Source organism: Homo sapiens, chromosome 12, assembly GCF_000001405.40.
Source record: "Homo sapiens chromosome 12, GRCh38.p14 Primary Assembly".
NCBI lineage: Eukaryota > Metazoa > Chordata > Mammalia > Primates > Hominidae > Homo > Homo sapiens.
In genome coordinates this window covers 50,797,265-50,821,735 of record NC_000012.12, presented here as the reverse complement: position 1 = coordinate 50,821,735, position 24,471 = coordinate 50,797,265, and the positions used below count along the sequence as shown (strand labels likewise).

At 39.9% G+C, this 24,471-nt stretch overlaps 1 protein-coding gene across 29 annotated transcripts in view; it reads right to left on the bottom strand.

Moving 5' to 3' along the window:
* The window catches only part of ATF1 (activating transcription factor 1), a 57,704-nt gene continuing 33,806 nt past the window's right edge, over positions 574-24,471 (bottom strand). For 21 of the 29 annotated variants that reach the window (NM_001412970.1, NM_001412963.1, NM_001412969.1 and 18 more), the window contains 4 exons: positions 12,147-12,280; positions 7,544-7,726; positions 7,297-7,456; positions 574-2,101 (listed from right to left, as the gene is read on the bottom strand). In NM_001412970.1, coding sequence (NP_001399899.1) covers positions 1,957-2,101; positions 7,297-7,456; positions 7,544-7,726; positions 12,147-12,192 — 534 coding nt within the window. In that variant the 5' untranslated portion in view covers positions 12,193-12,280 and the 3' untranslated portion in view covers positions 574-1,956. Of the gene's footprint in view, positions 2,102-5,795; positions 6,894-7,296; positions 7,457-7,543; positions 7,750-9,872; positions 10,116-12,146; positions 12,281-24,471 lie in introns of all 29 variants that reach the window. The other 8 variants (NM_001412982.1, NM_001412981.1, NM_001412979.1 and 5 more) reach the window with 6 other exon arrangements.

Sequence of the window (24,471 nt, the reverse complement as noted above, 5' to 3'; positions counted from 1 at the left end):
ATCACTTAAAAATTTGATAAGCCCCACATTGGATTCCAATTAGAAAAACACCCAGGAAAATAATTTGTTATGCATTTATGGAACCATTAATGGTTTGCCCTGACCTGTTTCATACAGCTAGAGTAAGTAACTGGGTCTAGTTAGCAAGGCCCTACACCAGAAGTCTGAAGGCAGCAGAGTTTACAAATATTTGCAGATGTCCAGCTGTTAAGGCACTAAGAGCTAGGCTACCTCTGTTGTAAACAAGCACGGTGTCTACCCAATAATATATTATCATCTGTTGAAAAAGTCTTTTGACATAACCCAGTGACCTCATACCTCCTCATATTCTTAGGCCTAACGGGCCACCAGTTTGAGATTCTGGCTTTACACAAGGTAGTAAGTGATATAAGTAATCCCCCTGGCGATCAAACTTTTTTTTCTTTTCATAAAGTGCTGCCAAGTCAACAGAGTCCCATTTTAAAAGACCCTTCTAATGAGAAATTTCATCAGGAGGGTCAAACACAAATGTATCAGTTAAGTGAAGATTTCTACGTAGCATTAGGATAATTAACAGCATGGCCAGGAGCAAGCTTATCATTCATATACCAAGCATTATATTTTACATTCAGTAGACTATCAAATGTCCTTTAATTTCACAGACAACAATATGATGCATACTGTGTAAGAGCACACAATAGTTTTGCAGTACAATTTTAAACTGTATACAAATTGGAATATAGATGTTAAACGCTGGTGTACTGACAGTATTTTTGAATTTTAGATAAACTGCATACAAAATTTACAATGCAAATATTAGCCAATCTGAAAACGTCCCATAATATAAAAATGATACTTTGAGATGCAAATTTTACTAAACTATATAAACATTTAAAATAATCATTAAAAACTCAACATTAGAATTTATAAAGATCAGCTATAAAAATATATTGGCAGTCACTTTTCTTATAAAGGTACCACTCACTACATTACAAAATAGTCTCTAACATAAAATTGCCTTAATAACTATACTATTATAGAATCTGATAAACCTTACATTATTAAATTGATTATAAAATCTTCTTGGAAAAACTTTGGTATGTATCTTCAGAAGGTTTTTTAAAAATAATATTTTAAGGGCCTGTAAACATTCCATTCTATTAAAGCACAGCAGAATAAGTAATGGATATTCAACTGCATACAGAATATAGACTCAAAAAAACAATTTATTATGTATTTGTAGAAAATCATTACCAGAGTAAGCAAAAAAACCAACTATTTAAAAGTATCAAACTTTTAAACAGTTCTTTTTCCATTCTGATAAAAAATGTTATAAAATCACCATACTCCATTCATGTACCTTAGATGCCTTTTAGGATAAGACCTCAAAAATAATTAACCTAGTCTCAAAAATCCATTCAAGTCCAATAACAAACTTTTAAAAACCCACTTAAAAAGACTTGACACTAGAACAAGTATACATAATCAGAACATATACTTTATATATTTAGTAATGTACTAGGTTTTCTCTTACCTTTGTAATTTAGAATTTATTGGCAGAAATTACACACACACACACACATATATATAACTAAAAAAAGGTAAATTTCAGCAAACAAATGCAAACCTGTAGGGTAAATGGATTTTTAAAAAAAATTCAGTTTATCAAATTTCATCTTCTCTGCCATTTTAGATTGGCAACTATTGGTTATTTAGAAAATTTAGACTGCTGAAAGTTCATTTCTTGCTCCTTGAATATGTTTAATTTCTACAAAGCTTCCAGTTGTGCCCGTAGCTTCCTTGAGGTCATTTTCCACTTTCTCCTCTGTCACTAGATATCGTGCGTAAGATATTTATCCTTGATTTGGAAAAGCCTAAATAAAAAGCTTCAGTTTTGACCTTTTAATTTATAAAACTCCACTAGGAAATCCATTTAATTTTTATGCATGTCCACAAAAATATTTTCTTTCTTAGGAATCAAACACTTTTATTGGAATAAAGATCCTTCAAAGTTTTTAACTCTTCTATTAGAGTTTTATTTTGATTTTCCAGGACTGCAACTCGGTTTTCCAGGCATTTCACATATTCTTTCTTCTTTCTGCGACATTCTCGAGCAGCTTCTCTAAATATGAGCATTAAAAAAACAATGTTAGAAAAAACTTCACATTCTTTAAATGGTAAATGTTCTTCAGTAATTTTCCGTGGTCACCTTTTTTTCTCTTTAAAGTATCATCTACACACAGAGAATACATAGATCTTAAGTGTAGAATTCAGTCAGTTTTGGCAATTGTGTATACCTGTATAACCCACACCTCTGTCAAGACAACAGAACATTCCCACTGTCCCAGAAAGTTCCCTCATGCCCCTTCCTGGTCAGCCCCCTTCCAAGCAACTATCGTTTTGATTTTTATCACCAGAGATTAGTTTTTTTCCTATTCTAGAACCTCATGTAAGAGTGTCATACACTATGTACTCTGGTGTCCCTTCACTCAGCCCATCTGAGGTTCATCCATGTTGCTGCATGGGGGTTTGTTCCTTCACACTGCTGGACATAGTTCACTGTATGAATATAACCACCATTTGTGTATCCAGTCTCTTGCGATGTTTCTAGGGTTAGCTGCATAGGCATGTTTTTGTGCCAGTCTTTTTGTAGAAAGGTTTCATTTCTCTTGAATAAATACCAAAGAGTGAAATTATGGGTCCTCTGGTTAACTTCTGACACATGACTTCTTTTATTTAAGTTCAAATTACAAACAATGCTTGAGCAAATACTCAGTTCTGTGCATGTCCTCTTAAAACATTTCTGTGAAGTCATATGTAAGTTTATATACATATAGAAATCGGAAGTATTGGCCAGGCATGGTGGCTCATGCCTGTAATCCCAGCACTTTAAGAGGCCAAGGCGGGCAGATCACCTGAGGTCAGGAGTTCGAGACCAGCCTGGCCAACATGGCAAAACCTCATCTCTACTAAAAATACAAAAATTAGCTGTGGTGGCACATGCCTGTAATCCCAGCTACTTGGGAGTCTGACCCAGGAGGATCACTTGAAGCTGGGAGGTGGAGGTTGCAGTGAGCCAAGATCGCGCCACTGCACTCCACCCTGGGCAACAGAGCAAGACTCTGTCTCAGAAAAAGAAAGAAAGAAAGAAACAGTACTATTTTAAGATTTTTATGCTATATATGTAGATACTATTTGCAACTTGCTTTTTAGTACACATCTTTAAAAGGACTGTACAAAATCTTTCCCCTCACAAAAAGACTTTATTTTTACCTTTAAGCTCTGTTTGTTTGTTTGTTTTAAGTGGTTTCCAGTAAACATTCTTTTTCTTTTTTCTTCTTTTGTTTTGAGACAGGGTCTCACTCTGTCAACCAGGCTGAGTGCAGTGGCACAATCACAGCTCATTGCAACCTTGACCTCCTGGACTCAAGATATCCCCACTTCAGCCTCTCAAGTAGCTGGGACTACAGGTGTACACCACCACACCAGCTAATTTTATTTTTGTAGAGATGAGGTCTCAGTATGTTGCCTAGGCTGGTCTCACTCCTGGTCACGGTGTCGGGATTATGGGCATGAGCCACCCACTCAGCCTCCATTCTTTACGTGTATTTCTACACATGTATTTCTTGAAGGATCACAAGCTATATTCACTTAAAGTCAAGAGATAGTGCCAATTTATATTCATTGAAGTACAGAGAAATAAGGGGGGAAAAAAGGAAGGAAAAAAATCCCAGAGTCAAACCAGAAAGAAAAAAGGGAAAAAATGCCAGAATGTCCTCCAGAGTATTTGTACCATTTACATTCCCAGGGGCAGTACATGAGAGTGCCTGTTATGAACATTTTAAAATGGTTGTCAGTCTAGCGGCTGACAAAAAGCGAACCTCACTGCTTTAACATTTCCCTCATTATGCACAAAGTTTGGAATAATTTCATGTTTACAAGGCCATCTTTCACAGACCGGTTTCCTTCTGTTAGGTCTCTTATTTACAGAAATAAATCTTTATATAACCTATACATCTCGTAATTCTTTCTCTTTATATAAAAGTTGCAAATATTTTTCCCAGTTAACAGACTTATTTTTAAGTTTCTTTATGGTATCTTTTGTCACATACAAGTAGAAATGTTGGGGCAAGTAGATACCATAAAACTCCGTACTTCCCTCAGTAATGTATGTGAGGTACCCTTTTCCTTATATGCCCAATGACAGACAGTATTACCACTTTATAATTTTTGCTACGTGACATCTCATTTCTTATTTTTATAGTTGTAGTATATACGTATATGACCCTAAAACTGCTATCATTTATTTTCTAAAATTATAAAATATCATACTTTGTGTATTCTGTTGCAACTTGTTTTTTCATTCAATTTTTCTAAGATTTATTCATGTTGAAATGATTATTCATTCAGTCATTACAAATAAACATTCCATTCTATAAATACAGTCACAATTTATGTACCTATTCTTTTTTCCCCCCATTTTTATGTTTAGGCTCAATATGTACCTATTCTGTTATCAATGAATCTTGAGGTTGTTTCCTGATTTTTTGCTGCTATGAAAATTCTTATACATACTTCCTCCAAGTTCCTCTCAGTCACACAGACTAAAACAGCTGGGTCACAGAGTATACCCACGTCAACTGTACAAGATAAGGCCTAATTTCCAAAATGGCTGCATCAATTTACACTCCTATAGTAGTATCTATGAATTCCTGACCATTGTTCCAAATCCTTGCCAACTCTTGGTTAGACTTTAAAATTTTTGCCAATTGGGTGGGTATAAAGGGTATCTAAATGTGTAGCATTAATGTGTATTTCTTTGATTACTAATAAGGCTGAGTAGTCTTTTATATGATTATTAACTACTTGTGTGTTTTTTTTTGTTTGTTTTATTTTTGAGACAAGAGTCTTGCTCTGTTGCCCAGGCTGAAGTACAATGGCGTGATCATGGCTCACTGCAACCTCTGCCTCCAGGTTCAAGTGATTCTCCTGCCTCTACCACATCTAGCTAATGTTTTAAATTTTTTTTAGAGATGGGGTCTCCCTATATTGCCCAGGCTGGTCTCAAACTCCTGGGCTCAAGTGATCCTCCTGCCTTGGCCTCCGAAAATGCTGGGATTACACGTGTGAGCCACCACGCCTGGCCTGTATGGTTTTTTCCATTAAAATGTTTCTGTGCATATTTATGGAGCACATGAGAAAATCTGTTACATGTATATAATGTGTAGCGATCAAGTCAGGGGATTCAGGGTGTCCATCACCTGAGTATTAATAGGTTTTTGTTAAGGGTGGTCATCCTACTCTGCTATGAAACACTGAATTTATTCCTTTTATCTTACTGTGTATGGGTTTGTACCCTTTAACTCTCTTCATCCTCCTCCTTGCCCCTCACCGTTCCCAGTCTCTGTTACCTATTTTTCCATTCTCTCTTTTTTCTTGAGATAGGGTCTTGCTCTGTTGCCCAGGCTGAAGTGCAGTGGTGCGATCATGCTGCCTCAACCCCCTGGGCTCAAGCAATCCTCCCACCTCAGCCTCCCGAGTAGCTGGGATTTTAGGCACACGCCACCATGCCTGGCTAATTTTTTATCTTTTGTAGCAATGGGTATGTTGCCCAGGCTTGCATTGAACTCCTAGGCTCAAGTGATCCTCCCGCCTCGGCCTCCCAAAGTGCTGGGATTACAGGCATAAGCCACCACGCCCAGCCCTATTTTTCCACTCTCTACTTCCATGTGTTCAAATATTTTAGCTCCCACATATAAGTGAGAATGTGATATTTTTTCTTTTTGTGCCTGGCTTATTTCACTTAAGATACTGACCTTCAATTCCATCCATGTTGCTGCAAATGACATGATTTAATTCTTTCTTATCCATTTATCCACTGATGGACACATAGTTGATTCTATTAGCTATTGTGCGTGAATAGTGCTGCAAGTAAACTTATGAGTACAGGTATCCCTCTGATATATTGATTTCTTTTCCTTTGGGTAGATTTCTATTTTTCGTTTTTTGAGAAGTCTCCATACTGGTTTTCATAGTGGTTGTACTAGCTAATTTTAAATTTTTGGGGGCTGGGTGCAGTGGTTCATGCCTGTAATCCCAGCACTTTGGGAGGCTGAGGCAGGTGGATGGATCACTTGAGCCCAGGTCTGAGACCAGCCTAAGCAACATGGCAAAACCCCACCTCTACAAGAAAAAAAAAAAAAATTAGCTGGGTGTGGTGGTATACATCTGTAGTCTCAGCTACTTGGGAGGCCGAGCTGGGAGGATCACTTGAGCCCTGGAGGCAGAGGTTGCAGTAAGCCAAGATTGTGCCACTGCACTCCAGTGTGGGTGACACAGTGAGACCTTGTCTTAAAAAAAAAAATCACAAAAACCAAATATAACTTTTCTACTTTTTGAACTTTTTTGTTAAAAATTAAGACACCAACACCAACATTAGCCTAGGCTAACTAGCCTAGGGTCAGGATCATCAATATCATTGTCTTCCACCTCCATACCTTATCCCACTGGAAGGTCTTTAGGGGCAATAACACACAGGGAGCTGTTATCTCCTATGATAACAATGCCTTCTTCTGGAATACCTCCTGTAGGGGCTGCCTTGAGGCTGTTTTACAGTTAAAAAAATTTTTTTTTTTGAGACAGAGTCTCACTCTGTTGCCCAGGCTGGAGTGCAGTGGCGCAATCTCAGCTTACTGCAAGCTTCGGCTCCCAGATTCATGCCATTCTCCTGCCTCAGCCTCCCGGGTAGCTGGGACTACAGGCGCCCGCCACCACGCCCAGCTAATTTTTTTGTATTTTCAGTAGAGATGGAGTTTCACCACGTTAGCCAGGATGGTCTCGATCTCCTGACCTCGTGATCTGCCCGCCTCAGCTGGGATTACAGGCGTGAGCCACCATGCCTGGCCTACAGTTAACTTTAAAAAAAAAAAAAAAAAAGTAGAAGGTATACACTTTAAAATAATGATTAAAAGTATAGTAAATTCATAAACCAGTAACATATTAACTTATTATAGTATCAAGTATTATGTTCTATACATAATTGCATGTGCTACACTTTTATATGATTGGCAGCACAATAGGTTTGTTTATACCAGCATTGCCACAAACGTGAGTAATGTGTTGCACTATGACATTAGCACAGGACTTTTTAGCTCCATTATAATTTTATGGGACCACCGTCATTCATTTATGTGGTCCATTGTTTACTTAAACATTGTCATGCAGCCCATGACTGTATACAGTTCCAGTTAACATCTGGTTATGTTGTGAGATTTGTAAAAACATTACCCATTCTGGTACTACGATTTTACTACCTACCTGTTTTTCATTAACCTTATTTCTCTTTTCAATTGGGGGTCATCTGTCTTAGTTGTCTGAGAGGTGAGAGTCACAGGAGATGTCATCACCACAGTTTGTGGCAGAGAAGTAGCTGAAGGTGTAGTTCGGATCTGATATGTTTGCATATCTCCTGATGCAGCTAGATGGTAAACAAGAGTGAATGAGTTAGTTAGTAAGTGTCTCTGACAGTGTTAGGAGACTTTCTGTAGACAGAAAGCATACTTACTTTGTACGACCACCTGATTGCTGGGCACAAGTATCTGCTGTCCATCAGAGGTCTGTGCATACTGAAGAATAGTTGTACCTTGCTGAGTACTGCCTGAATTTGTCATGGTTAATGTCTGAAGTCCCTGTACTCCATCTGTGCCTGGACTTGCCAACTGTAAGGCTCCATTTGGGGCAATGGCAACTTTAATCAAAAAGAGAAAATAGCTATTGTAAGGTTATATAATACACTAATTCAAAGGAGTGGCAAAAAGCCCACAAACACTATTTACTAAAACAGGTATGAATGCACTTCTACTTGGTAACTGCAGACTACTTTACTTTAGGTGAACTACATGTAAAAGGAATAAAACAGCATTTCTTTTTTTTTTTTCTTTTTTGAGATGGAGTCTCGCTCTACCGCCCAGGCTGGAGTGCAGTGGCACGATCTCGGCTGGCTGCAACCTCTGCCTCCTGGGTTCAAGCCATTCTTGTGCCTCAGCCTCCCAAGGAGCTGGGATTACAGGTGTGCGCCACCATGCCCAGCTGATTTTTATATTTTTAGTAGAGACGGAGCTTCTCCATGTTGGCCAGGCTGGTCTCAAATTCCTGACCCCAGGTGATTCACCCGCCTCAGCCTCCCAAAGTGCTGGGATTACAGGCATGAGCCACTGCACTTGGCCCCATGATAGTTAATTTTTAAGAAAAAATAAAAAGGAAACATAAACATAGTTTGTAATTTTGAGTCAAAAGCATTAAAAATATTATTACTTTAAAATATTTCTGAATAGATAACATGCTTATGGAAAAAATTCAATAGAATAAAAGGTTATATAATGAGAAAATAAGTCATCTTTATATGGTTTCTTAGCTTCATTTTCTAGTGGTACCACTGTTAAATGTATTACATGTTATTAAGATATTTACTTAAGTGATAGTTAAGAAATGTAATCTATTCATTTACTTCCTAGTGAAAATCACTAATAAAGATAGCAGAAAGCCACTGTGTAGAAAATACTACTTAGCTCCCCACAAACATTTTTTCACTGAATTATACCTGTGTTCATGCTTTCTCCTCAGCCCTTAAATGCCCATAAGGCATGATCAAATAGAAAACATTTTAGCATTATTCAATTCCCATATACTCTTCAGAATCGAATGCCTCATCTCTGTACCCTCTTTTCAGATTACAGTTATGAAACATTTTTTTTTCCTTTTATGCTTTGGCTACCAGGAAGCCAAAATACATGTATATGTATATGTGTGTGATGGAAAAATATTTTTTTTCACGCATTCATAATTATCCCTCCCCAACTGCCCCAACTTTAATTTATGAGTTTCAAAATATTTTTTTAAATGTTAGATACAGGGATATGTTGGCTATTTTTTTTGAGACAGGGTCTCACTTGTCACCCAGGCTGGAGTGCAGTGGTGTGGTCCTGGTTCACCACTGCACTCTACCTCCTGGGCTCAAGCAATCCTCCTACCTCAGCCTCCCAAGTAGCTGGAACTATAGATGCACACGGACATGCTCAGCTAATTTTTAAATTTTTTATAGAGATAGGGTCTCCCTATATTGCCCAGTCTGGTCTTGAAATCAAGTGATCCTCCCACTTTGGCCTCCCAAAGTGCAGGGATTACAGGCGTGATCCAACACGCCAGGCTGAGATTTGCTGTGAAGTTATATTAGCAATTAGTTTCAATCTTCTTCCCTGCAACACATTATTATATACATATATACACATACACATTTATTTATATAAGTATCAACATAAATAAAATTAAAGGTCCCATTATCTATCTCTATTTCATTTTCCCCCTTTTACCGCCATCCTGAGATAATTATTGTTTTTGGTGCACATCCTTCCCATTATTTTCCTGTGCTTATACAGACTTATATACTTTTGCCATTATGTTCAGTGGTGAAAACTGCAATTTCTTTTACACCAACCTAATATATCAAAATACATACCTGTAGATGCAAATGTTTTGATATTAAATATGTGTGAATACATATTTTCATTTTTGCAACATATCTTCCTGTTCTTAACATGTGTATTTACCTGTTAATGTGCTGTATTTATTCTAAAACTGAGCTGTCTGATAGGGTATTAGCTCCATGTGGCTATTTAAATTAACTAAAATTAAACAAAATTAAAATTTCAGTTTCTCAGTCCCACCAGCCATATTTCAAGCACTCAACAGTCACACATGGTTTAGTGGCTACTATTCTGGGACAATGCAGATATAAACATTCCCATTATCATACGAAGTTCTATTGGCCTATGTTGCCCTAAATACTAGTTTGTACTACACTTATTTCAGTGATAACATGTGAACCTCCCCACTACCTCTGATCTCTGCTCCCAAGCTTCTTTCCTTGCAACCACTGCTCCCAGTTTCTTTCTTTCTTTCTTCTTTTTCTGAGACTGGTCTTGCTCTATTGCCCAGGCTGGAGTGCGGTGGTACGATCACGGTTCACGGTAACTTCGAACTCCCAGACTCAAGAGATCCCATTTCAGCCTCCCGAGTAGATGGGACTAGTCACATGCCATGATGCCCGGCTTTTTTTTTTTTTTTTTTTCTTCATTTTTCTGTGAAGACACAGTCTTGCTATGTTGCCAAGGCTGGTCCTGAATGTGGCTTCAAGCAATCCTCCAGCCTCAGCCTCTCAACGTACTGAGATTACGGACATGAACTACAGTGCCTGGCCCCCAGTTTCTCAAGAGGTATTCTATATATATATTATTTAATTAATTCATAACAAACAACTGAAAGCCTACTATATGCCAGGTCCTATATGTCAAGGATGTAGTTGTGAATGAAACAAAAGGTTCTTTCCCTTAAGGATCTTATATTCTAGTGGGGAAAACAGATCATGAATAAGCTAATCTATAATTACATACATACAATCTATAATTAAACTAATATGTACTGACTTAGTTATATGTAAATGCTATAAAGAAAAATATAGGAGGTTAAGGGAAACTAAAGGGAGGAGCCACATATTTGAAGAGAGTGGTCTCTTTGTGGAGGTGACACTTAAGCAGAGTAGCCACATAAGGATCTGGGGGAAGAACATGCCAGGCATGAGCAATGACAACTCCAGAGATCCTGAGGCAGAAACAAGCTCGTGTGTCTGAGGTACAGTAAGGAAGTCTGGGGTGGTCAGAATGCCACCAAGTGGCAGGAGATGAGGTCAGAGTGGTAGGCAGATCCTAAATGTAATGCCTTGTAAGATCCGGATTTTATTCTAAGTGTGATAAAATGTCACTAGAGGATTTTGGGCAGGAGCGATGTGATCTAGTTGACATCTTAAATAAATCACTTTGGCCACAGTATGGAAAACTGATTATTAGAGCAAGAATGGAAGCAAGATGACCAACTGGATGCCTACTTCAGTAATTAAGATGAGAGCCTAAACCAAGGCGGTGGTGGTTGGAGACGGCAAGAGGTGGTCAGATGGGACATATATTTTGTGGCAAGACTGAATGAAACAGATTAATGTTAGGAGTGGAGGGGGAGATAACAAATGGGCAGCACAAGTAAATTCGTTAGGGTGACAGAACTCAATCTTGATTGGCGGTGTTATACTATTCTACACATTTGTCAAAACTCATAGACTTAAACTCCCCAAAGAGTGAATTTTACTGTATATAAATCAAACAATAAATATTTTTAACGAATAGGCAGGGGCCAGGCGTGGTGGCTCACGCCTGTAATCCCAGCACTTTGGGAGGCCAAGGTGGGTGAATCACTTCAGGTCAGGAGGAGTTTGAGACCAGCCTGGCCAACATGGTGAAACCCCGTCTCTACTAAAAATGCAAAAATTAGCCAAGCGAAGTGGTACACGCCTGTAATCCCAGCTACTTGGGAGGCTGAGGCAGGAGAATCACTTGAACCCGGGAGGTGGAAGTTGCAGTGAGCCGAGATCATGGCACTGCACTCTAATCTGGGCAACAGAGCGAAACTCCACCTCAAAAAAAAAAAAAAAAGCCAGGAATGTTCTGAAAGGAATTATACTAATATAATATACAGCAATTATGTACGGAACTACATAGATATAAGAATGAACAAAATAAGGCCAGGCGCAGTGGCTCATGTCTATAATCCCAGCACTTTGGGAGGCCAAGGTGGACGGATCACCTGAGGTCAAAGTTCGAGACCAGCCTGGCCAATATGGTGAAACCTCCTCTCTACTAAAAATACAAAAATTAGCCGGGCGTGGTGGCACACGCCTGTAATCCCAGCTACTCCGGAGGCTGAGGCAGGAGAATCACTTGAATCGGGAAGGCAGAGGTTGCAGTGAGCCAAGATTGTGCCACTGCACTCCGGCCTGGGCAACAAGAGCGAGACTCTGTCTCAAAACAAAACAAAACAAAACAAAACAAAACAGTATCTAATGTTGTAGGTCTCAGTTCCCTCATACATTGATAATTGCCTATGTCACAAAGTTGTTATAAGGAGTAAATAATGCTGAAACAGTACTTCGCATTATTCCTGGCTGAAAACATCCTTTAATAATCATCACTATCAAAGTATTACAGTTTTCCTAACACCATTTCTTTCTACAGAAAAGTCAGGTTTTGTGTGTTTATAATGTGGAAACTGATTCCTATACATACTGTACTGTCCGCTGCTAGTCTGATAGATGGGAGTTGGAACAGACATAGAAGTGACAGCAGCAGAAACTCCAGAATTTTCTCCGTCTCCTTTTCTGCCCCGTGTATCTTCAGAAGATAAGTCTTTCAAAATTTTTCTGTAAAAAAAACCAGAACTCTATTAAACATTGGTAATGTGAATGACTTCACAAAAATAATTTTTTTTTTTTTTTTTTTTTTGAGACAAGATCTTGCTTTGTCACCCAGGCTGGAGTACAGTGGCGCCATCATGGCTCACTGCAACCTCTGCTTCCCTGGCTTAAGAGAGTCTTGTGCCCCAGCCTCCCAAGTAGCTGAGACCAGAAGTGTGAGCCACCACACCCAGCTAATTTTTGTATTTTCAGTAGACACGGGGTTTCACCATGTTGGCCAGGCTGGTCTTGATCTCCTGGCTTCAAGTGATCCACTCATCTCCTCTTCCCAAAGTGCTGGGATTACAGGCATGTGCCACCATGCCCGGCCACAAAAAGAAATTCCTAAAACTTTTTCAATCTCAGGTAAAAGTTATAATAATCGGGCCAGTCATGGTGGCTCACACCTGTAATCCCAGCATTTTGGGAGGCCGAGACCAGCGGATCACAAGGTCAGGAGTTTGAGACCAGGCTGGCCAATATGGTGAAACCCTGTCTCTACTAAAAATACAAAAATTAGCTGGGCATGGTGGCAGGCGCCTGTAATCCCAGCTACTTGGGAGGCTGAGGCAGGAGGATCGCTTGAATTCCGGAGGCGGAGGTTGCAGTGAGTCGAGGTCGCGCCACTGCACTCCAGCCTGGGCGACAGAGTGAGAGTCTGCCTCAAAAAAAAAAAAAATTACAATAATCTACCAGACACTTAAACTATTACACCAAAGAATGCTTTTATTTAGCATATATTATTATAATGATGTGCTCCAGGCTGATTACATATTAGTTTAAAGAGTAAAGAGGGCTGGGCATGTGGCTCCCATCTGTAATCCCAACACTTTGGGAGGCTGAGGTGGGCGAATGACTTGAGGTCAGGAGTTTGGAGACCAGCCTGGCCAACATGGTGATACCCAATCCCTGCTAAAAATACAATAATTAGCTGGACATGGTGGTGCGAGCCTGTAATCCCAGCTACTCGGGGGGCTGAGGTAGAAGAATTGCTTGAACCTGGGAGGCGGAGGTTGCAGTGAGCCAAGATGGTGCCACTGTACCCCCAGCCTGGGCGACAGAGTGAGATTCCATCTCAAAAGAAACAAAAACAAACAAAAAAAAACAATAAAACAGTTCTCCAAACGAAGTAGGTAAGAAAAACTATAAAATGCACAGCGTATCAATGATGAATAAAATTGCTTATTTTAACAAAAAGAGGTAAATATGATCCCATGGGTATCCCTCAGACTTGGTGAAATGGCACTAATGACAGGAATAAGGGATGGAAAAAGTATTCCTTGCTGAAAAGAAAGGTCTTTCAAGACAATTGGGGATGGGCACAGTGGCTGACGCCTATAATCCCAGCACTGTGGGAGGCCAAGGCAGGCGGATCACCTGAGGTCCGGAGTTCAAGACCAGCCTGGCCAACTTGGCAAAACCCCATCTCTACTAAAAATGCAAAAATTAGCTGGGCATGGTGGCTCACGCCTGTAATTCCAGCTACTTGGGAGGCTGAGGCAGGAGAATTGCTTGAACCCGGGAGGTGGAGGCTCCAATGAGTGGAATTCATGCCACTGCACTCCAGCCTGGGCGACAGAGTGAGACTCTCTCAAAAAAAAAAAAAAAACAAAAAAAAAACACACACACAATTGGGGGTAGAGGAAAGAGTAGGCAATATGCATTGTTTGCTTCTGAAAAAAGAAAAAAGAAATGCTTAAGAATTCTATGTTCACTGTAGAAAAATGAGAAAACTGAAATACTTACGTGAAAACAACAACAAAAAATAATCCACAAAGGAAAAAGAAAGCCCTTAGAATGAAAATGGCTATTTTATTTTATCTATGCCAACTTCCCAGCCCATGGAGAAATTCTCTAACATTCCTGAAAACCTCTACTTCCAGGAAAAAGGCACCCACTATTTCCAAAAAGTAAACCATTCTATTATTGAATAGTTAGAGCCTTTCCTTCTTTGGGTCCAAAACTGGTTCCATCCAGTGAAACTAAAGAAATTTATTTATTATTTTTTTCTTTTCTTTTGAGACAGAGCCTCACTCTGTTGCCCAGGCTGGAGTACAGTGGCATGATCATGGCTCACCCCACCGTGACTTCTCAGGCTCAAGCGATCCTCCTGCCTCAGCCTCCCAAGCAGCTGGGAATATAGGTACACGCCATCATACCTGGCTAATTTTTTATTTTTTTAGTAGAGATGGGGCCTATGTTGCCCAGGCTGTTCTTGAACTCCTGGGCTCAAGTGATTCTCCCACCTAGGCCTCCTTAAGTGTTGGGACTACAGGCATGAGTCACAGCAAGAAATTTAAGCCTAATCCCAATTCTATATCCATGCCCTACTTTGCGATATTTGATAATTGCTACATGTCTTCCTTATTCTAGGCCAAATACTTTCAGTTTTTTCACGTGTTCTTCTATAACATGTTGAAGATCCTTCTCCAGTTTGTCTCCTTTCTGTGGACTGTCGTCCCACCAAGAGCTAATACAACTGTAGACTATATTAAGAGAAGTTCCACAGGAAGCACAATGGAGGTGTCAGTCCTATAGGACTCTGTTTTAGGCATTTCTGTAGAATAGTCAGAGTGCTTCCTAAACCTGCCTATGTAACAGAATCATTCTGGAGAGGTTTGTTGAATCTAGATTCCCATCTGGTGGCCATAATCATTGAGTAAGTAGGTCTAGAGTAGAGCTCCAGATCCATTTAACAAACTGCCTGCATGGTCTTTTTTTTTTTTTCACAAGTACACCTCTGTCCAATGCCTGCATGGTCCTACAGCCAGTCTATCATGAGACTGTGGAATGCTGCACCCATTTATTTTTCCATTTTAAATTATGAAACACTTTGAGTATAAAGAAAAGTACAGGGGAAGATGCTGCATCTGGCGTTGCCGTGGCTGTGCCTTGGCCTGTGCAGCCTCCTGGTGGGGCAGGCAGAGGCCCTGAGCCCCATGGATCTGCTGGAGCAAAGCCCGCCCTGTGTGGTGCTGTGCAGGCAGAACCTGGTGTTGATGGGAACCATTGTCAGCATCCTGCTGATAACTGTCATCCTTATGGCATTTTGTGTCTACAAGCCCATCTGGTGTCAATGACAGCCAAGTAAACAAGTTCTTCAATGAGTACTTGGGAACAGGATAAGTTGTGCTGCGTATGGGCCAATGGAGAGGTTGAAATCAGAACTTTCCTAGCTGAAAATGACCTTTGGTCTGGACAGTTGGTAAATGCTAAATGATTTAGGAAAAAACATCTACTAGCAATTATTTTTTTCTTTTTTTTTTTTTTCTTTGAGACAGTTTCGCTTTTGTTGCCCAAGCTGGAGTCAGTGGTGCAATCTCGGCTCAATGCAACCTCTGCCTCCCAGGTTCGAGCAATTCTCCTGCCTCAGCCTCCTGAGTAGCTGGGATTACAGGCGTGCGCCACCACACCCGGCTAATTTTTGTATTGTTAGTGGAGACGGGGTTTCACCATGTTGGCCAGGCTGGTGTTGAACTCCCGACCTCAGGTGATCTGCCCACCTGGGCCTCCCAAAGTGCTGGGATTACAGATGTGAGCCACTGTGCCTGGCTTTATTTTTTTTCTCAACACTGTAATGCAAATAATTGGCCACCAAGTCTGCTTCTCAGTCTTTCTTTTGATATCTGACTTAAGAGCAAGACCTGAAAACTCCAAATTCAGTGTAAAGATGGGAGTGTTCATAAGGAAGGAAAACATGGTAACCCTGCAAATGTCTGTAAGAACCACACTGGAAAGAACTAATTATTCATGCTTGAAAATATTAATAAGGAGACTTACTACATAGACATTCCCTACCTAAGAACCATTTGGTCACAATGGGTTAAGAATCACAAAAGGTTTTTTTTTTTTTTTTTTTTTGAGACAGACAGGGTCTCACTCTGTCACCTAGGCTGGAGTAAAGTGGCACAATCACGGCTCACTGCAGCCTTGATCTCCCAGGCTCAAGTGATCCTCCCACCTCAGCCTCCCGAGTGGCTGGGACTACAGGCATGCACTACCACACTCAGCTAATTTTTTGTATTTTTTTGTAGTGACAAGGTATCCCTATGTTGCCCAGGCTGGTCTCAAACTCTTGGGCTCAAGCAATCTGGCCACCTCGGCCTCCCACAGTGCTGGGATTACAGGCATGAGCCACCGTGCCTAGCCTTCCTGTACCTATTATTCTACTCTAATTCCAGTATGATCACAGAGCATACTGTGCATGATTTCAGTTCTTTTAAATTTGTTAAGATTTGTTATGACCCAGAATGTGGTACTTTTTGGCAGATTTTCTTCATTCTACAGCTGCTGGGTCAAGTGTTATAAAAATGTCAATTAGGCCAAGCTCATGCCTGTAATCCCAGCACTTTGGGAGACCGAGGTAGGCAGATCACAAGAACAGGAGCTCGAAACCAGCCTGGACAATATAGTGAAACCCTGTCTCTACTAAAAATACAAAAAAAGTTAGCTGGGCGTGGTGGTGGGCGCCTGTAGTCCCCACTACTTGAGGCTGAGGCAGGAGAATTGCTTGAACCTGGAAGGCGGAGGTTGCAGTAAGCCAAGATCGCGCCACTGCACTCCAGCCTGGGTGACAGCGTGAGACTCCGTCTCGGGAAAAAAAAAAAAAAAAGATCTTGTTGGCTTCTGATATCATCTGGCATTAGGTTCTTCTATAATCTTTCTGATTTTCTGACTGTAAGTTCTAATGTATCCTGAGACAGGTTTACTGAAATCATCAACTGCAACTGTGGACCTGTTTATTTCTCTTTTCAGTTCTGTTAGTTTCTTTTTAGAGATAGGGTCTTGCTGTCACCCACACTAGAGTGTAGTGGCTCAATCATAGCTCACTGCAGCCTCCAACTCCTGGGCAGCTGGGACCAGAGGCACACATCACCACGCCTGGCTAACTTTAATTTTGTGAAGAGACAGGGTCTCACTATGTTGCCCTGGCTGGTCTTGAACTCCTGGGCTCATACAATCCTCCCTCCTTGGCCTCTGGAAGGGCTGAGATCACAGGTGTGAGCCACTGGGCTCTGCCCTACTAGTTTTTGATAAATATATTTTAAAGCTCTTTTGTTAGATGCATACACATTTGGATTATGTCTTCTTGGTGAACTCTTATCATTATGTAATGTCCTTTATCTCTGCAGATTTTCCTTATTCTGAAGTCTATCTTATATGACATTAATATAGCCATGTTAGTTTTTTTCATTAGTGTTTTCGTGGTATGTCTTTAACCATCCTTTTACTTTAGACTAGCTATATAATTTTTGAAGTGAATCATTTTTAAAATCCATTCTAATAATCTTTGTCTTTTTAAAGAAAAGTGGCTTTGAGATATAATTCACATACCAAACAATTCATTTAAGCATACAATTCAGTGTTTTTAGTATATTAACAGTTGTGCAACCACCACTATAATCTAATTTTAGAACACTTTTGTCCCCCTAAAAGAAACTTGGTACCCATTAGCAGTCAATCCATTCTTCTGTCCTCTCTCCCAAGCGCTAACCAACCACTTGCCTACTTTGTTTCTATAAATTTGTCTATTTTGGACGTTTCATATAAATGGAATCATACAATATGCAATCTTTTGCAAATGACTTCTTTTAGTTTAATATTTTCAAGGTTTATCCATGTTGTAGCATGTATTAGCACTTCATTGCTTTTTAATTGCTAAGTAAAAATATTCCATTTTATGAATACACCACATTTTGTTTATCCATTCATCACTTAATGGACATTTGGGTTGTTTCCATGTTTTGGCTATTATAAACAATGCTGCTATAAACATTCATGAACAAGTTTTCATATAAATGTATGTTTTTATTTCTCTTGGGTATATAAGTAGCATAGGAAGCAGTGGGTCATATGGTAACTTAGTATTCTGAAGAACTGCCAGACTGTTTTCCATAGCAACTGTACTATTTTTTTTTTTTTTTACATTCTTACCAGCAGTGTATGAGAGGTTTAATTTCTCCATATCATCACCAACACTTATTATTGGTCTTTTTTTTCTATTTTAGTCATCCTAGTGGGTTTGAAGCAGTATTTCACAATTTTGATTTGCAATTCCCTTAACGATAAATGTTGAACTTTTCATAGGTTTATTAGTCATTTGTTTATCTTCTTTGGAGAAATTTTTATTCAAATCCCTTGCTTTTTTTTTTTTGAGACAGAGTTTCGCTCTTGTCACCCAAGCTGGAGCACAGTGGTGCGATCTCGGCTCACTACAACCTCTGCCTCCCAGTTCAAGCGATTCTCCTGCCTCAGCCTCCCTAGTAGCTGGGATTACAAGTGCCCGCCACCATGCCTGACTAATTTTTTGTATTTTTTTTTTTTAGTAGAGACGGGGTTTCACCATGTTGGCCATGCTGGTCTTGAACTCCTAACTTCAGGTGATCCACCCACCTTGGCCTCCCAAAGTGCTGGGATTACATGCATAAGCCACCATGCCCAGCCCCCTCCTTGCTCATTTTTTAATTTGGTCTTAATATTTAGTCTTCTGATCAATCAACATGAGATGTCTTTTCACTTATTTAGATCTTTTTTTTTTTTTTTTTTTTTTTGAGATGGAGTCTCCTTCTGATACCCAGGCTGGAGTACAGTGGTGCATTCTCAGTTCACTGCAAACTCTGCCTTCTGGGTTCAAGTGAATCTTCTGCCTCAGCCTCCCGAGTAGCTGGGACTACAGGTGCGGGCCACCACACCCAGCTAATTTTTGTATTTTTAGTAGAGACAGGGTTTCACCATATTGGCCAGGCTGGTCCCGAACTCCTGACCTCGTGATCTGCCCCACCTTGACCTCCCAAAGTGCTGGAATTACAGATGTGAGCCACCGCTCCCAGCCTTACTTAGATCTTTTAAAATTTCTTTCAACAAGGTTTTATAGTTTCCAGTATATGTATTCTTTTTGAGATGGAGTTTTGCTCTTGTCACCCAGGCTGGAGTGCAATGGCACAATCTCAGCTCACTGCAACCTCTGCCTCCCAGGTTCAAGCGATTATCCCGCCTCAGCATCCTGAGGAGCTGGAACTACAGGCGCGTGCCACCAGGCCTGGCTAATTTTTGTATTTTTAGAAGAGATGGGGTTTCACCATGTTGGCCGGGCAGGTCTCAAACTCCTGACCTCAGGTGATCGCCTGCCTCGGCCTCCCAAAGTGTTGGGATTACAGGCATGAGCCACTGTGCCTGGCCTCCAGTATATGTGTTCTGTTTCTTTTGTTAAATTCATATCTAAGTATAATTTAAATTTATAAATTTAATTTTAAACCTTTTATACTTTGTTATTGTAAATAGAATTGTTTTTAAGTTTCATTTTTGGATTAGTCATTGCTAGTATATGGAAATACAGTTGATTTTTGTTATATTGATCTTATATCCTACAACCTTGCTGGAACTTGTTGATTAGTTCTATTTTAATAATTCTTTAGGATTTTGTATATATAAGATACTGTCATGTACAAAGTGTTTTACTTAGTCCTTTCCAATCAGGATGCCTTTTATTTAATTTATTGACTAATTCCCTGAGTGCAATGTTTAGAAGTGGTGAGAGGGGATATCCACATTATTTTCTTATTAGGATGTTAGTTGTGGGTTTTTCGTAGACCCTTTTTATTAGGTTGAGGAAGCAGCCTTCTATGTATTTGTTGAGCAGTTTTATCATGAAATGGTAACTGGATTTTTGTCAAATGCTTTTTCTGTGTCTTGCGATGATCATATGTTTTTTGTTTTGATTCTATTAATATGATGTATTACATTAATTGATTTTCAATTATTAAACCAATTTTGCATTTCAGGGATAAATCCTGTTTGGTCATGGCATATACTACCTTTTACATGTTGTTGGATTTGGTTTGCTAATATGTTGTCGAGGATTTTTTGTGTCTATATTCATGAAGGATATTGGTCTAGTTTTACAATTGCCTTTTAATTGGTGAGTGTAGGCCATCTTCAGTATTGGCTGATCTTCCACTTTATTATTTGCTTTCTGTTTATTCTGTTTTTAAAATTCTTCTGTGTTCCTGCACCTGCATTATTTTGGATTATTTGAAGACTTTTCAAAATTTAATTTTTAAGCAACTGTATATTTGACTAAATCTTTTTGTGTAGTTTTTTTTTAGTAGTTGCTCTAGGGGTATATAGATACCTAGCTTTTTATAGTCTACATAGAATCACTATTTTACCACTTCAGGTGGAATGTAGAAACCTTACCACCATATTAGAACTGTTTATATTTCCCTCTTTATGTTGTAGATGTCTTATATATTACCTCTGCACACATTAAAAACCCCATCAGAATTTCATAATTTGTTTTCAGCCATCAAATTGATTGATGGATTGATTGAAACAGAGTCTCGCTCTGTCGCCCAGGCTGGAGTGCAGTGGCATGATCTCGGCTCACTGCAACCTCCCAGGTTCAAGTGATTCTCCTGCCTCAGCCTCCCGAGTAGCTGGGATTACAGGCGCCTGCCACCATGCCCAGCTAAGTTTTTATCTTTGTAATAGAGACGGGGTTTTGCTATGTTGGTCAGGCTGGTCTCAAACTCCTGACCTCAGGTGATCTACCTGCCTCAGCCTCCCAAAGTGCTGGGATTACAGGCATGAGCCACCGCGCCCAGCCATCAAATATATTTTAAAGCAGCAGTTCCCAACCCTTTTGGCACCAGGGACCAGTTTCGTGGAAGACAATTTTTCCATGGATAGGGAAGTCAGGGGATGGTTTCAGGATGAAACTGTTCCATCTCAGATCATCAGATATTAGATTCTCATGAAGAGCATGCAACCTAGATCCCTCGCATGGTCACAACACGGTTCACATTCCTATGAGAATCTAATATGCCACTGATTTGACAGGAGGCAGAGCTTGGGTGCTAAGGCTCGCTCACCCGCTGCTCACCTCCTGCTGTGCAGCCTGGTTCCTAATAGGCCACAGACAGGTACCAATCCACGGCCTGGGGTTTGGGGACCCCTATTTTAAAGAATTCAATAGGAGAGGAACTGTCCATTATATTTGCCCAGATATTTCTGTTGCTGTTTCTTCATTCCTTAACTTTCTTTCGTCTTAAGAATTTTCTTAGCAGTTGTTTTACAGCAGGTCTGCTGGCAATTATTTCCCTTAGTTTCCCTTGATGAGAATATTTATTTGACCTCCAAGTCTGAAGGATGTTTTCAGTAGACATAGAATTTTGGGTGCCAAGACCCAGGAGATAATTCTTTTTTCTTTTAGCACTTTAAAAATGCTATTCCATTATCTTCTCACCTCCATAGTTTCTGATGAGCACTCTGTAGTCATTCACAATGTTCTCTTGTAAGTAATGTGCCATTATTCTCTGGCTACTCACAAGATTTCTTTAACTTTAGCTTTCAGCAGTTTGATTATGGTAAGTCTGGGCAATGATTTATTTGTGTTTATCCTGTTTAGAGTTTGCTGAGGTTTTTGAACCTGTAGGTTTACGTCTTTCACCAAATTTGGTAATTTTTCAGCCATTATTTTTTCAAGTATTTTTTCTGCGCTATACTTTTTTCCTCTCTTTCTGAGACTCTAATGACATAAATCTTAGATCTTTAATTATTGTCGCACAGGTCGCTGAGAATTAGATAATTTTCCAATCTCTTTTCTATGTTCAGATTGGATAATATCCATTGAATAATCTTCAAAGTTGATCGTTTTTTCTCTCATTTCCATTCTACTATTGAACCCATCCAATGAGGTTTTATCTCTGTTACTGTGTTTCTTAGCTCTGAAATCTCTATTTTATTCTCTTTATATGCTCTATTTTTGGCCGAGAGTTTATACCTTTCATTTCAAGAAAATTCACTTACTTGTTGGAACAGTTTAATAATAGCTTCTTTAAAGTCCTTGTCATATAATTCCAACATTTGTATCATCTAGGAGTTGGCTTCTGTCAACAGTCTTTTCCCGTGCAAGTTGAGATTTTTCCTTGTTCTTTGATACCAAGTAATTTTGGACTCTTTGAATATTATGCTATCAGACTCTGGGTCTTGTTTAATAAAAAATGTTTTATATTCTTGTTGCATGTGCATGTGTGTATTTGGGACAGGGACTCGTTCTGTCACTCAGGTTGGAGTGCATGGCACAATCATGGCTCACTGAAGCATCAACCTCCTGGGCTCAAGTGATCCTCTGCCCTCAGCCTCCTGAGTAACTGGGACTACAGGTACACACCACCATACCTAGCTAATTTTTGTATTTTTTGTAGAGACAGGATCTCCTTATGTTACACAGATTGGTCTTAAATTCCTGGACTCAAGTAGTCCTCCCACCTCAGCCTCCCAAAGTGCTGGGATTACAGGCATGAGCCACAGACCTAGACTATATTCTTGTTTTAGAAGGTATCAATCTGGTTGTGTCCAGGCCACAAGTTCTGATCAGCCTTCTGTGGGTTGTGGTTCCAATGTCAGTTCAGTTTCCAAAGTCTTTGCAATGCTATTCATATCTATTACACATGTGCACCAGGTAGTGGCCAGTCTAGAATTTGGGCAATGGTGATCTGTCCTATACATAGTTAAGTTCTAAAAGTCTACATATGCTAGGGAAGCCCATTTTTATTCATTTTTGGTAGAAATGTATGAGGTGCTGGATTTAATCAAATACTTTTTTTCCCAGCATTTATTGAGTTGACTGTATTGTTTCTGCCAATTCTCACTTACGTGGTTTATGTCCTTGCACGTTTGATGATTTTTGAGTGAATTCGTATTTGATTTATACTAATCTGTGGCAATCCAGAAAGCTTAACTTTGAGAAGTTTCTTTTCAGATGTTATAGCCTTCCTGAGAGACCCCTACTTAATAAAGAAATCTCAGGTTCAGGCTGGGCATGGTGACTCACGCCTGTAATCCCAGCACTTTGGGAGGCCAAGGTGGGCAGATCACGAGGTCAGGAGATTGAGACCATCATGGCTAACACAGTGAAACCCCGTCTCTACTAAAAAATACAAAAAATTAGCCAGGTGTGGTGGCGGGCGCCTGTAGTCCCAGCTACTCGGAAGACTGAGGCAGGAGAATGGCATGAACCCAGGAGGCGGAGCTTGCAGTGAGCCGAGATTACTCCACTGCACTCCAGCCTGGATGACAGAGCGAGACTCCATCTCAAAAAAAAAACAACAACCATGAAACTACCCAAATTAATCATTATTACTATTGTTCTAAAAAGCCAATGCTAACTGAAATGAATTGTCTTTGTTCACCATACTTTCTCACATTTATATTCCTTTCATTTTCTTCTTCCTGAAGTATACACTTAAGTAGTTTCTTTTTTCTTTTTTTTTAGAGATGGAGTCTCACTCTGTCACCCAGGCTGGAGTGCAGTGGCACGATCTCAGCTCACTGCAGCCTCCGCCCCCTGGGTTCAAGCTGGGACTACACGCATGTGCCACCATGCCTACCTAATTTTTTTATTTTTAGTAGAGATAGGGTTTCTCCATGTTGGCCAGGCTCGTTTCGAACTCCTGACCTCAAGTGATCCACCCGCCTCGGCCTCCCAAAGTGCTGGGATTACAGGCGTGAGCCACTGTACCCAGCCTCCTTAAGTAGTTTCTTAAATCAGTTTGAAAATGATTATTATTTCACCGTCATTTTTGAAAGACTGTTCAGTAGGCACAGAATTCCAGGTCAAAAGTTACTTTCTCTTTGAATTTAAATATTGGAGCCTGAGTACAGTGGCTCATGCCTGTAATAGCAACACTTTGGGAGGCTGAGGTGGGAGGATCACTTGAGCCCAAGAGTTTGACACCAGCCTGGTCAACATAGTGGGACTCTATCTCTACCAAAAATTAAAAAAAATTAGGTGGGCATCATGGCATATGCCTATAGTCCCAGGTACTCAGGAGGCTGAGGAGCTGACCCCAGGAGGTTGAGGCTGCAGTGAGCTGTGATCACACCACTGCACTCCAGCCCAGGCAACAGGGTGAGACCTCCGTCTCAAAAAAACATGTAATAATTTAAAGATAAAAATAAGGATTTTAGTTCATTGTCTTATACTGTACTTCAAAAATCTGTTGTCAGCTTACTGGTCCTTCCTTTCTAGGTAATTGGTCTTTTCACTTGGAAGCTTTTAGCTTTTAAGATCTCAGGTTTATCCTTGGTGTTCTCCAGTTTTACTTTACAACATACACCTAGATGTAGGTTTCTATTAATTTATCTTGTTTGGGACC